The sequence below is a fragment of the Homo sapiens genome, chromosome 14, assembly GCF_000001405.40.
Source record: "Homo sapiens chromosome 14, GRCh38.p14 Primary Assembly".
NCBI lineage: Eukaryota > Metazoa > Chordata > Mammalia > Primates > Hominidae > Homo > Homo sapiens.
In genome coordinates, this window is record NC_000014.9 from 100,516,825 (window position 1) to 100,529,406 (window position 12,582).

A 12,582-nucleotide genomic window follows, 5' to 3' on the forward strand; every position below is an offset into this window, starting at 1 on the left:
GGACAATCTGTCTTTTAGTTGGAGATTTTAGACAATTTATATTTAATGTAATTACTGCTATGGTTGACTTTGGCCTGTCATGTTATTATTTTATTATTTGTCTCTGTTTTTTTTTTTTTTAAAGGAGATGGGATCTCACTCTGTCACCCAGGCTGAAGTGCAGTTGTATGATCATAGATCACTGCAGCCTTGACCTTCTGGGCTCAAGCAGTCCTCCCACTTCAGCTTCCCAAGTAGCCAGGACCACAGGCATGAGCCACTGCACCTGACATATCTCCTCTGTTTTTTTTTTTTTTTTTTTTTTTTTTTGAGACGGAGTCTCGCTCTGTCGCCCAGGCTGGAGTGCAGTGGCACAATCTCGGCTCACTGCAAGTCCCGCCTCCAGGGTTCACGCCATTCTCCTGCCTCACGCCTGGCTAATTTTTTGTATTTTTAGTAGAGATGGGGTTTCACCGTGTTAGCCAGGATGGTCTGGATCTCTTGACCTCATGATCCACCCGCCTCGGCCTCCCAAAGCTCCTCTGTTTTTATTCCACTTGCTCTTTTCCTGCCTTCTTTGGATTATTTTAACATTTTTATTATATCATATTATTTTATCTATTAGCTTTTTGGTTATGTCTCTTTGTATTATACCTTTAAATTGTTGCTGTAAGGACTACAATATACATGCCTAATTTTTCACAATTCTACTTATTGTTAATATTTTACCACTTCAAGTAAAACATATGATTCTTCTAGGCCAGGTGTGGTGGCTCACGCCTGTAATCCTAGCACTTTGGGAGGCCAAGGCAGGAGGATCACCTGAGGTCAGAAGTTCGAGAGCAGCCTGACCAACATGGAGAAACCCCATCTCTACTAAAAATACAAAAATTAGCCGGGCGTGGTGGCACGCGCCTGTAGTCCCAGCTGCTCCTGGGGCTGAGGCAGGAGAATCACTTGGACCCAGGAAGGGGAGGTTGCAGTGAGCTGAGGTTGCACCACTGCACTGCAGCCTGGGCAACAGAGCAAGACGCCGTCTCAAACAAACAAACAAAACAAACAAAACAAACATGATTCTTCTAACCAGATAAGCCTTTTTACCCCCTACCCTGTAAGTTAAAATTGTGTTATGGATTACATCTACATACATTGAAGATCCCCTTCCCAGACAATGCTATATATTTTTTTCAAGAGTCATACGTATTTCATATAACTTAAGTGAAAAAATGATTTTTTATATCTACCTAATCATTTACCGTTTTTTGCTGCTGTTCCTTCATCCCTGAAGCTCCAAGTTTTCCTCTGGCATTATTTCCTGTCAGCCTGAGGAACTTCCTTTAGCATTTGTTTTAGATAGATCAGGTCTGTTCATGACAAATTCACTTAGTTCTTCTTCATTTGTAAAGGCCTTCATTTCCTCTTTATTCCTGAAAGATATTTTTGCTGTCTGTAAAATTTTGGATTGATGCTAATTTACCACTTTCAGTATGTTCCGCTGTTTTCTGGTCTCCATAGTTTCTGATGATACATTTATGGTATTTCAAATTGTTCTCCTCTGTGTAATTCTTCATTTTTTTTTTTCCTGGGCACTGTCAAGGTTTTTTCTTTGAGGTTTTTAGCAGTTTGATTGGGATATGCAGAACATGGTTTGTATTGTGTTTTTTCTTTTTAATTTATCCTCTTTGTGGTTGCAGAGTCTCTTGACTTTTTAACCAAATTTGGGAACAGTTTACTCAATATTTCCTTAAATATTCTTTCTTTTGGGTACTGCTGTCTTCACCTTCTCCTTTAAGAACTCTGTTGATGGCCAGCTGCGGTGGCTCACACCTGTAATCCTAGCACTTTGGGAGGCCAAGGCGGGCAGATTGTCTGAGCTCAGGAGTTCAAGACCAGCCTGGGCAACATGGTGACACCCCGTCTCTACTAAAATACAAAAAATTAGCCAGGCATTGCAACGTGTGCCTGTAGTCCCAGCTAGAGGACGGGAGGCTGAGGCAGAAGAATCGCTTGAACCTGGGAGGCGGAAGTTGCAGTGAGCCAAGATCGTGCCACTGCATGCCAGCCTGGGGGACAGAGCGAGACTTCATCTCTAAAAAAAAAAAAAAGGACTCTGTTGACAAAAATATTTAAGCTTTTGATATTATCTCATAGATCCCCAAAGCTCTGTTTATTTTTTTCTTCAGCTTGATCATTTGGGCAGAATGAGGGATTTATTTCAGAATGTTTGGTGTCCATGCCCACTATGTACTGCCTTAATCCAGTCAGTCTTTGGGTCAACAGCAGGAGTTAAAACACAAAAGTGAATACCAACTGGGAACCTCATCTGCCATACTGGTCTTTATTCAAATTTTGACTTCCTTTCCCAACCCACCTGCTATTATTGACTTTTCAGAGTCTTCAGGTAGTTGCTTTTAAAATTTTGTCCAGAGTTTTTTTGTGTGTGTGTGTGTAATTTATAGGGGGGAGAGAGAGAGAGAGAGAGAGAGATGCATAGTGGGTTTACTCCATTTCAGGTTTACATTAGATTTGTTCATTTTAAAATTTAGAATTTTTTTCTATCTGGTACATGTTGCATAATTTTAATTGCTATGTCTTCTAGTTTACTAACGGTTTCTTTTGCAGTGTCTCATCTGCTGTTAATCCCATCTAATGTATTTTTCATCTCAAACATTGCATACTTCATCTCTTGAAGTGTGATTTGGATCATATATGTATATATGATTCATTAAAAGTTATTATAACTCCATAACATATGTTTAAGAAGGTAGAGGAGAGACTGACCATGGTAAGTAGAGATATGGAAGACTATCTCTATATCTATATATAGTCTTTGTATCATATATGTAGTCTATATATATACACATATAGTCTATATATAACATATAATCATCTATATATAGTATATATAGTGTATATATACTATATATAGTGTATATATAGTATATATATAGTGTGTATATATAGTATATATATAGTATATATACTATACTATATGTATATATGTATATATGTATACTATATGTATATATAGTATATATACTATATATGCTATATATATACTATATATACACTATATGTATATATGTATATATGTATACTAGATGTATATATAGTATATATACTATATATACACTATAGTATAAATACAGTGTGTATATAGTATATATATGGTATATATAGTATATATAGTGTGTATATATATGTACACTATATATATACACATTGATCATTTGGGCGTGTACATATATATGTACATATGTGTGTGTGTGTGTGTGCATATATATATATAGTGTATATATATATATAGTCTTGGTCTATTATCTATGTCACTTCTGGCCAGTTTAGCTGGGTTTAAGAACTATAATCCAGGTGTTGAGTTTGCTGATTGTTTCCACACTCCTTCTGTGGACAGAGCTGGGAAATATTTTTCTTGTGGAGACAAAATATATTATTGTTTATACTGATTTTTCCAATTCAAATTTAGGATTACAGAATTTTCTTTACTTTTTTGTTTTTATATTTTAAAAATCTCTTTTATGCTAACATTTTTAAACTTCCATCTGCCTTACCTTAACACATTTCTTTTATATATATTGACACTAACAATGAAACGACTGAAAACACTTTAAGATTTCTTGCAGTTCTCTTTGTTCACAGTGTATATCTAATTAGGATTTACCACCATATTGCCAGTTTTCTATTAATAATGTATATTCAACTAAGGATTGACCATGTAAATGTCAGCTGCTTTTGATAGCCACCATCCTATGTGATTGGCGACTTCTGCTTTTGCGACTTTAAACCAAAGCAGTGGGCCCTGTGCTACCTTTCCACTTTGCCTTGCATCTTGGCACTGGAAGAAGACAATGCATTTATTACTGAGAGTTGCCCAAGAACTCACAGCTCCATCCTAGGGACTCTAGCTCTGGCTGGCTGGGGAGGAGAAGGTTTACAAGCATCGGGCTCGTATGTGTCAGGCATTTAGCTGGGCACAGCACCCTTAGTTCCTCAGGTGGAGGTCCTGTTGTTACCCCTACTTTACAGGTATGGAGACTGAAGAACAGACGGAAGTTACTTGCCCAAAGTAACTGTGCTTCAGGTCTTTTAAAAGAAACCTTATTTGTGCAGTTAAGCTACGAAATCAATACATGGTTAATTTTGTTTGCCTAATTTTGCTTTCACATTTTAGAGATTGCTTTTTAAGTTAATTTTGTTGCATAATTTAATAAAATGTGTATATGAGTCCAGAGAAAGGATTGGCAAACTACAGTTGATGGGTCTTATCTTGCCTGTGACCTGTTTTTATATGGTCTTTGAGGTGAGAATGGTTTTTACATTTTTAACCAGCTCCAACAAACACACAGACACACACATAGACACACACACACACACACACACACAGAGAGAGAGAGAGACAGAGAGAGAATTATATATAACAGTGACTACATATGGCCTACAAAACCTAAAATATTTACTGACTGGCTCTTTACAGAAAAACTTTGTAACCCTTGTTCTAGAGTCAAATCTGCAAAACAAGGTACATTTCGAGAAATCATCCATGTTCCACCTCTAACCCTGTCTCCCCCATTCTGCTCCCCTCCCTTCCTCTTAAGGCAGTCTTATTTATTTGCTTATTTTAGTTTCTAGTTTGTCTTCTTATTGCTTCTTAGTGGAAACACACACATGTTCACGTCCCCTCTTCTTTACACAGTTTTTTCTCCCACTTTGAATTTTTTTTCACTGAACAATGTGTCCTGGAGATCGCTTCATAGCAGGATAGGTTCCTCATTCTTTTTTACAACTGCGTAGTGGTCCAGAGTATTAATGTACTAGAGTTTATTCAGCCAGTCCTTTCTCGATGAACATTGGGTTGTTCCCTGTTTTTTATTTTTACAAATAGTGCTGTTTTCAGTGGCATTGTGCTTATATCTCTTTGGGATTTTGCCAGTGTAAGTTTAGGATTAGTTCTTAGAAGTGGGGTTGCTGGGTCATGCATATTGCCGAGTAACGATGCATATGTTATTTTGCTCAAAGTTGTCTAAATCCTTTCTGCACAGGGCTTGTACCATTTGCATTTCTGGCAGCCATATGTAGATACCTAACACCCCCAGAGCCACCTAACAAGGGTGTTGCAAAACTTTGGGATTTTGTTAATTTGATAGGCAAGTAATGGTATCTCTGTGTGATTTAAATTTGCATTGCTTTTGTTAGGAGCAAAGTGGAAGGACCATTTCATTTTTTTCTGAGCTCTGTTTCCTTGCCCGTTTTTCTGTAGAGCTATTGGTCTTTTTCATCTATTTTTAGGGACCATCTGTGTATTACAGATAGTGACCTTTGCCTGTAATAGAAGTTGTAAATATTTCTCCTACTTGTCTTTTTTACTTTATTTATTTATTTACTTGCTTGCTTTCTGCCATCCCAAAGTATTTTTTTTTAATTATTATTGTTTTTATATAGTCCAGTTTATTCAACTTTTCACTTATTGCTTCTGGGTTTGGAGTCATAGCTGGGAAAGTTTTCCCTAGTCCCAGGTTGTAGAGAAATTCAATCATGTTTTTTCTCATAGTTATGTTATACTTTGTTTAATGTAAATGTCAGTTGCTTTTGATAGCCACCATCCTATGTGATTGGCGACTTCTGCTTTTGCGACTTTAAACCAAAGCAGTGGGTCCTGTGCTACCTTTCCACTTTGCCTTGCATCTTGGCACTGGAAGAAGACAATGCATTTATTATTGAGAGTTGCCCAAGAACTCACAGCTCCATCCTAGGGACTCTAGCTCTAGCTGGCTGGGGAGGAGAAGGTTTACAAGCATCGGGCTTGTATGTGTCAGGCATTTAGCTGGGCACAGCACCCTTAGTTCCTCAGCTGGAGGTCCTGTTGTTACCCCTACTTTACAGATATGGAGACTGAAGAACAGACGGAAGTTACTTGCCCAAAATTATGCAGCCAGTAATAGGCTGCCACGCTCAGGTCCCCAGGGTGTCTGCCTAAGTGCTTGGGCCCTCCCACTTGGCATCTCACCCCTGCTCATCCAAGGGCCAGGAGAGGCCCCACCCACCTCTGGGCTCTTGTGAGGCTGCAGCGTGGAGCACAGTCCTGCTGTGCTCCCACCTCCCACCAAGGTCTTGGAGCAGCTTTCCTTTGTCTCCACGTCTGAGGCACAGGGCAGGGGCTGGCTCAATCAGGGCCAGGGGAAGGACCTGTGAGTGAATGTCATCTCACCCGGGGGTCCTGGGAGAGCCAGTGGCAAAGGCTTTTGTGTGTTGCCTCAGCCCTGCATGCCAGGATGTTGCTGGGAGCCGGAGGACCCTGGATTGCTACTTTTAAAGTAGTCGACCTTTTGTTCATTCACTCATTCATTTATGCATTTACTCACTTATCCAGCATCAATTTGACACACCTTACTGATGCCTGCAGGGGCAGACCCAGTGCTAGCCAAGGGTGACCCAGAAATGTGGGCAGCAGGGCGTCTGTGCCAGGAGCTCACAGTCCTGTGGCGTAGGCAGGTGGCTGATGTGGGCAGCTAAGGGAGCACAGGGTTGCGTGTGAGCCCAGAGCAGTGCCTCCCCACCCCCTGTCCTTCAGGTCTGGGTGCAGAGGACTGGCAGCATGGGGTGAGGGATAGCTGGGTGCATCCGCCAGTCCTTCTTCTTTCTGAGGACCAGGAGTACTTAGAGGCTCAGAGGTGTGGTTGGGGCCCTCGTGTTGATGACTCAAAAACTAGACCTAGGAAGGGAACGAACCTTCCCCAGGCACATAGTAAATCTGTAGTGGGCCAAGATTGGAGCCCAGTGACCACCCCCAACCCCGTGCACTCTGGAAGTGGCAGGAACCCAAGGCTGCTCTGGACGAGTCAGCAGCGGCCCAGCATCCCCCAGGTTTGCTGGTGGGCCGAGTGGTGGGCAGATTGTAGGGACATAACCCCTGCATGTGTCATGATCGATCTTCTGCTTTCCCCAAGACCATGTCCCTGCATCTCTACCAGGGGCCCGCAGTTGCCAGAAGAGTCTGAGTGAGACTCCCTTTTGGATCCAGCTCGTTAGGCTCGGGTAGCAGCGTCCCATGCCAGCTGTTGGTGTAATTAAGGTTGCCATAAAACCCACCAGCTAGACACACAAATGGCTCCTTTGCTCTTTCCTGGGGCATGAGCAGTTGTGAAGGCGAGTAAATCATGTTCGGTGGCGATCACTTCAAAGGCCAGCCTTCCACTTGCAGCCACATTATTGGCAGGGATCGCCCATAACACGGCTTGTTTCCCAGCCATTCACTTTTATGACACCCTAATGAATTGGGCCATTTCCATCCATTCTCAGAAAATGTACGGAACAACTGTTTTGGTTCTCCTCAAAAAGTTTGTCTTGGGAGGCAGGTGGTGTGTTGGCAGGGGCATGTAGGTAGTTCTTGGCTCCTGGGCAAGTTGCCTGTCTCTGAGACTTCATGCCCACCGAGAGAAGCTACCTATGGGGCTCTTGTCATGAGATAACTTATGTGAACCCCCCAGCCAAGGCCCAGCACCTAACGGGCACTCAGCGAGTGGCAGGGAGGGCCGTCATCTTCCTCATCCTTTCCCTGGGTCAGCCTCTTAGGGATCAAAGTGTTGAGGCTGGTGGGGGCTGTGATATCAAGGCCATGTGGGAGGATAGAGCAGGCACAGGCATGCAGAATCCAGTGCGTGGAGGAAGGCAGGCAGCCGTGCCGTGAGGGGCAGCTTGTCTCCCTGTTCTGCATTCAGAAGGCTTTTTTTTTCCACCCCTGGATCATTCTTTAGGCTTCAGGGGGCCCACTCTGAAATCTCCCTGGTTGAGGGTTGCTTTGGAAGAGGCTCAGAGAAGAGCGGTCATCTGTTGCCTACCCTCCCCCAGGAATTACAGAGGCAGGAATTGACCAGCAGGAGAATGAACCGTGGGTCCCAGGGAAGCCGTGGAGGTCGGAAGAGGCTCCACCATGCCCTGGCCCTGTGACCTTGAGCAAATCCGTACCTCTTCCTGGGCCTCAGTGAACCTCATCCAGAGAATGGGCCTCAACCTCCTCCTCCTCTAACCTAAACTGAAATTATGGAGTGACACATTTAATGTGAATTTGATGTATACATTTTAAGGAGGATGACAGAAAATATGTCTGCAAAATTTGAAAGGTATGAACTCCAATTAAAAAGTCAAGGTGGCTCATTTTGAGCTGGCGGGGCCCAGGGACTGAACTGTTTATGCTGCAGCCACATGGTGGCGGCCCAGGAACTGGTAAAGGGACCGGCCGGCCCCTGCGACCAACTTGAGACCTTGCTGCGCTTCCATGGCTGCGCGTGGGTGCCCAGCATGTTATTTCCATATTGTCATTAAAGTCCTGTCCTCTGTGAGTTTGTTAAGTGGAGCTACTTGCTGGTCCTGGTACTGGGACCCTTCTCCATCCCCTCACCAGAGCTGGATACTTGAGAGCAGAAGCTGAATGTGATAAAATCCTCTAAGAAAGCAAAACAACTGCTCAATACTTAATAAAGTCAGTTTATGAGACAGCAGACTGTGAAGTATCGGTGATGATGCTAAAACAATACAAAGTGTCGTTAAAGCTAAAATATGTCCTGTGATTCTGGCTTTATGGTCTGTCCCCAAGCACACTTGCTCCTGCATTACTGTGGCTCCTCTGGGACAACAATCTGGGACTTTGCAAGCTGTGAATTATGTGACGTCTTCAGAAGCAGGACCCACTCAAAGCATGACCCCAGTGTTGATGGATGTCAATATGCTCTCGAGGTGCCCTTGGCGAGTCAAGGCCCTTCCCTTTGCGCTTTCCCTGGGATCCTGCTGCTCTCAAGGGGTGATAGGGATGCCTCTCTGGACCCATGTGGCAATAGAGCAGGGGGGCTGAGAAGCTGACAGACACTGGACTGGGCATGGGGCAGGAGGGTCCATGATTCCATATATGGCTTGTGGGTGCTGCTCAGCCTGGGTGTGTGTGGCCCAGCATAAACTTCACTAAACCTGCCTGCCCCCTGGGTCCTTGGCCTTCCCTGCATAGGCGCCTGTCCGTGCTGCCAGGCCTGCCAGCATGACCGGTGTCCGCTCTTGCAGGTGATGAGAAGCTACAAGGCGACCATCCAGCAGACCTTGGACATCCTGTTCCTCCGGGAAGGCTCCGAGTTCCTGAGCAGCACAGACGCTTCCACCCGGGACTCAGCTGACCGCACCATTATTGCCTGGGATTTCCGGACCTCTGCCAAAATCTCCAACCAGATTTTCCACGTAAGAAATCCCATTTGGCATTGCTGTCAGTTTCAGCCACAGAGCGTATCCATGTAGTTCTGGTCTGTCTGAGGTCCCAGGTCCCTTCTGTGGGAGGAGGCTCACTGGACTGAAATCTCCAGGATGAGGGTAGTCAGGTCTCAGCCTGCCGCACACATGGAGAGCTTGCTGTGGGCTTCCAGATGCAACCTCCTTCTGCTCTTCTTGTGCCAGCACAGCAACCCCACAGGGTAAGGGTCTGGTGGGGGGCGGTTCAGTCCAGATCAATGGGGAACGTGGCAGTGCAACCTGAGAAACCCCACCCTCCCACTGCCACCACAACCAGCTACTCAGAAGGGGTTTCTGACCCTCAGTGGCATTGGCAGTTGATGTAGCCCAGGAGTTCAGAGCAGGGGCCCCACAGTTAGAACACCTGCATTAAGGTTTTGGATTCACTAGGACCTTATAAGGCGGAGAGCCTTGGGCCTGCTATTTAGCCTCTTTGATTCTCACTTTCTTCATTAGAAAATAGTTTTGAGAATTAAGAGAGAGAGAGAATGTTTGTAAAGGGTATAGCACAGTGTCAGGCACGGGGAATGCTTCTGTGCTTTAACTGTCATTACCACCACCACCATCAACATCACTACCACCACCAGTGTCATCACTGCCACCATCATCGTCACCATCAGTACCACCATCAGCATCACTGTGTCTATAGCCACCACAACCACTGTTGTCATTGTCACTACCACCACTACTATCATCACCACCATCATCACCAGCACCAGCACCATCAGCATCACTACCACCACCAGTGTCATCACCGCCACCATCACCAGTACCACCATCAGCATCACTATCTTTATACCCACCACCTCCACTGTCATCATTGTCACTACTACCACTCCTGTCATCACCACCACACCATCTCTATCACCACCACCATCACCATCATCACCACTGCCATCTCTGTCACCTTCACTGTCACCAGCATCTTTATTGCTGCACCACCACCATCACCACTCTATCACCACCACCATCTCCGTCACTACCACCAACTGTATCACCACCACGATCACTGCCGTCATTACACCACCCCATCTCTGTCACCACTACCATCTCTTATCAGTACCACCCCACCATCAGCACCACACTATCTCTATCACCACCACTGTCACCAGCATGTCTAGCACCACCACCACCATTACCACCATCATCACCACCGTCATCTCTGTCACACCACCATCACCACCGTGATTGTCACCACCACCATCTCTATTATATTGTTATCATCACCACCACCACCACCACTGCTACCGTCATCATTGTCACCACTACCACCGCCATCATCAGCATCATCTTTTGAGATTTCAACTAACCCAAGACTAATCTCTGAATTTAAAACTGTATGTCATGTGTATATGATATATGTGGGTGTACATGAAATATCTATCCTGTGTACACCTTCTTTTCCTCCCTGCCTTTTCCTTGTTCTCAGTGGGTTCTAAGTGGCTCTGAGCAAACCCACTTCTAGACCTCCACTGCAGGGTGTCCCAGGGCAACCCATTGGGCAGGACAGGCCCTTGTGGGGAGCTGGAGGGGCACGTCTGGCCTCTGAGGGTGTCCTGCCTCCAGGAGCCCAGGGGAAGTGAGGCAGATGAAGGTGCCTTGCGCCTGAACTATAGTTACACTCCACACTGTCTGTGTGGAGGGAGCAGGTGCTCAGCCTGGCACCATCACACTGGGAGCTTGTTATCTGGCCATGGCAGCCTCTGTGCCTCTGATGGCCACATCAGCCTGAAGCTGTGCTTCCTGCTGCTCCCCACTTTGCCCTCTGAGTTTGGGCTCACTTAGAGAGTGTGGCCTAGGGACAATAGTTAGAACAATGTAAAGCCAGCTTGAGGGGGTAGTTTTTAGGGGTGCTTCCTGTCAATGAAGCAGTGAGATCTCGCGCCCCCTGTGTTTTGAGGTTTGTGCCTGCATTTCTTTTCTCATTTGGCCACTTACCTCCTCACTTACTGTGCATTTTGGCTGTGTGGGTCCCTGGGCTGGGCTGGGCTGTCCCTGAGGGCTCATTGTGGAGGTGGGGAGATGGGCATGTAGATTCCTTTTCTATCCTTGTGTGATAAATTACACAAACTTGGTGGCTGGAAGAACACAAACTTATTCCCTCACAGTTCTGGAGGCCCGAAGTTCATAATCAATATTAAGTATGATTGGGCTGAAATCAAGATGTTGGCAGGGTGTGCTCCCTCTGGAGTGTCAAGGGGAGAATCCTTCCTGCCCTCTTCTGGCTTTTGGTGACAGCCAGCATTCCTGACTTGTGGCTGCATCTCTCCAGCCCTCCAAGCCAGCATCTTCACACCACCTTCACTGTTTGTCACATCTCTGCGCCTTCCCTTTGTTTCTTTCTTTCTTTTTTTTTTTTTTTTGTAGAGATGGGGTTTTGCCATGTTGCCCAGGCTGGTCTCGAACTCCTGGGCTCAAGAGATCCGCCCGCCTCAGCATCCCAGAGTGCTGGGATACAGGCGTGAGCCACCACACCCAGCCTTGGCTTTCTTTCTATGAGGCTGCACGTGACTGCATTTAGTGTAATATAGGATCATCTCCTTATCTCAGAATCCTTAGTTATGTCTGCAGAGACCCTTGGTTTTGACCCTGTAAGGTAACATTCACAGGTTTCAGGAATTAGAACATGGGTATATTTTGGGGGGCATTTTCCTGCCTGCCACAGGGACACAGGCAGGTTGTAGAAGCTGGGAAACATGGAGGAAACTGGATTCCCCTCCAGCCTCCAGAAAGAAGTGCGGCTCCGCCAACATCTTGACTTCAGCCCAGCGAGGCCTTTTTCAGACTTCCGACTCGCAGGACTGTGTGATGTGAAATGTGTGTGTCTTGAGCCACCAAGCTTGTGGTGATTTGTCACAGCAGTGATAGGAAACCAATGGAGACACCCAGCTAGGGTCTGGGAGCAGGCCCCAGGCCCCAGAGCAGAGTGCCAGGTTGGGGGTGTCTTCTCTGACCCATTTGTGGCTCTGCTGTTCTCAGGAGAGGTTCACCTGCCCCAGCCTCGCCTTGCACCCGAGAGAGCCCGTGTTCCTGGCACAGACCAATGGCAACTACCTGGCCCTTTTCTCCACTGTGTGGCCCTACCGGATGAGCAGACGGCGGCGCTATGAAGGGCACAAGGTACTTCTGTCCTTGTCCCCCAGGCGAATGCTGAGCCCCAGCCCCAAGCCTCCTGGCAGTCCTGGACATGGGCCCTGGGGTGCATGGAGCCTCTGTCTGGGTGGATCCTGCTTTCTGTTTCCTGGGTGAGCGCATGCCATGTGGCTCACTGTCTCTTCAAGTCCCTGAACCACATCTGGTCCTCACCCCAGGCCCCAC

The 12,582-nt window shown here is 45.9% G+C and overlaps 1 protein-coding gene across 7 annotated transcripts in view, besides 1 other annotated feature; it reads left to right on the forward strand.

The window, feature by feature from the left end:
- WDR25 (WD repeat domain 25) overlaps positions 1–12,582 on the forward strand; it is a 153,819-nt gene that overhangs the window by 140,340 nt on the left and 897 nt on the right. For all 7 annotated transcript variants that reach the window (NM_001350947.2, NM_024515.6, NM_001350948.2 and 4 more), the window contains 2 exons: positions 9,046–9,216; positions 12,244–12,384. In NM_001350947.2, coding sequence (NP_001337876.1) covers positions 9,046–9,216; positions 12,244–12,384 — 312 coding nt within the window. The remainder of the gene's footprint in view (positions 1–9,045; positions 9,217–12,243; positions 12,385–12,582) is intronic.
- Positions 5,916–6,576: an enhancer, noted in NCBI's record as "H3K27ac-H3K4me1 hESC enhancer chr14:100989077-100989737 (GRCh37/hg19 assembly coordinates)". NCBI's record gives its function as "activates a minimal SCP1, AML or CMV promoter by ChIP-STARR-seq in naive H9 embryonic stem cells {active_cell/tissue: H9 hESC(naive)}" and the evidence as "EXISTENCE:reporter gene assay evidence [ECO:0000049][PMID:30033119]".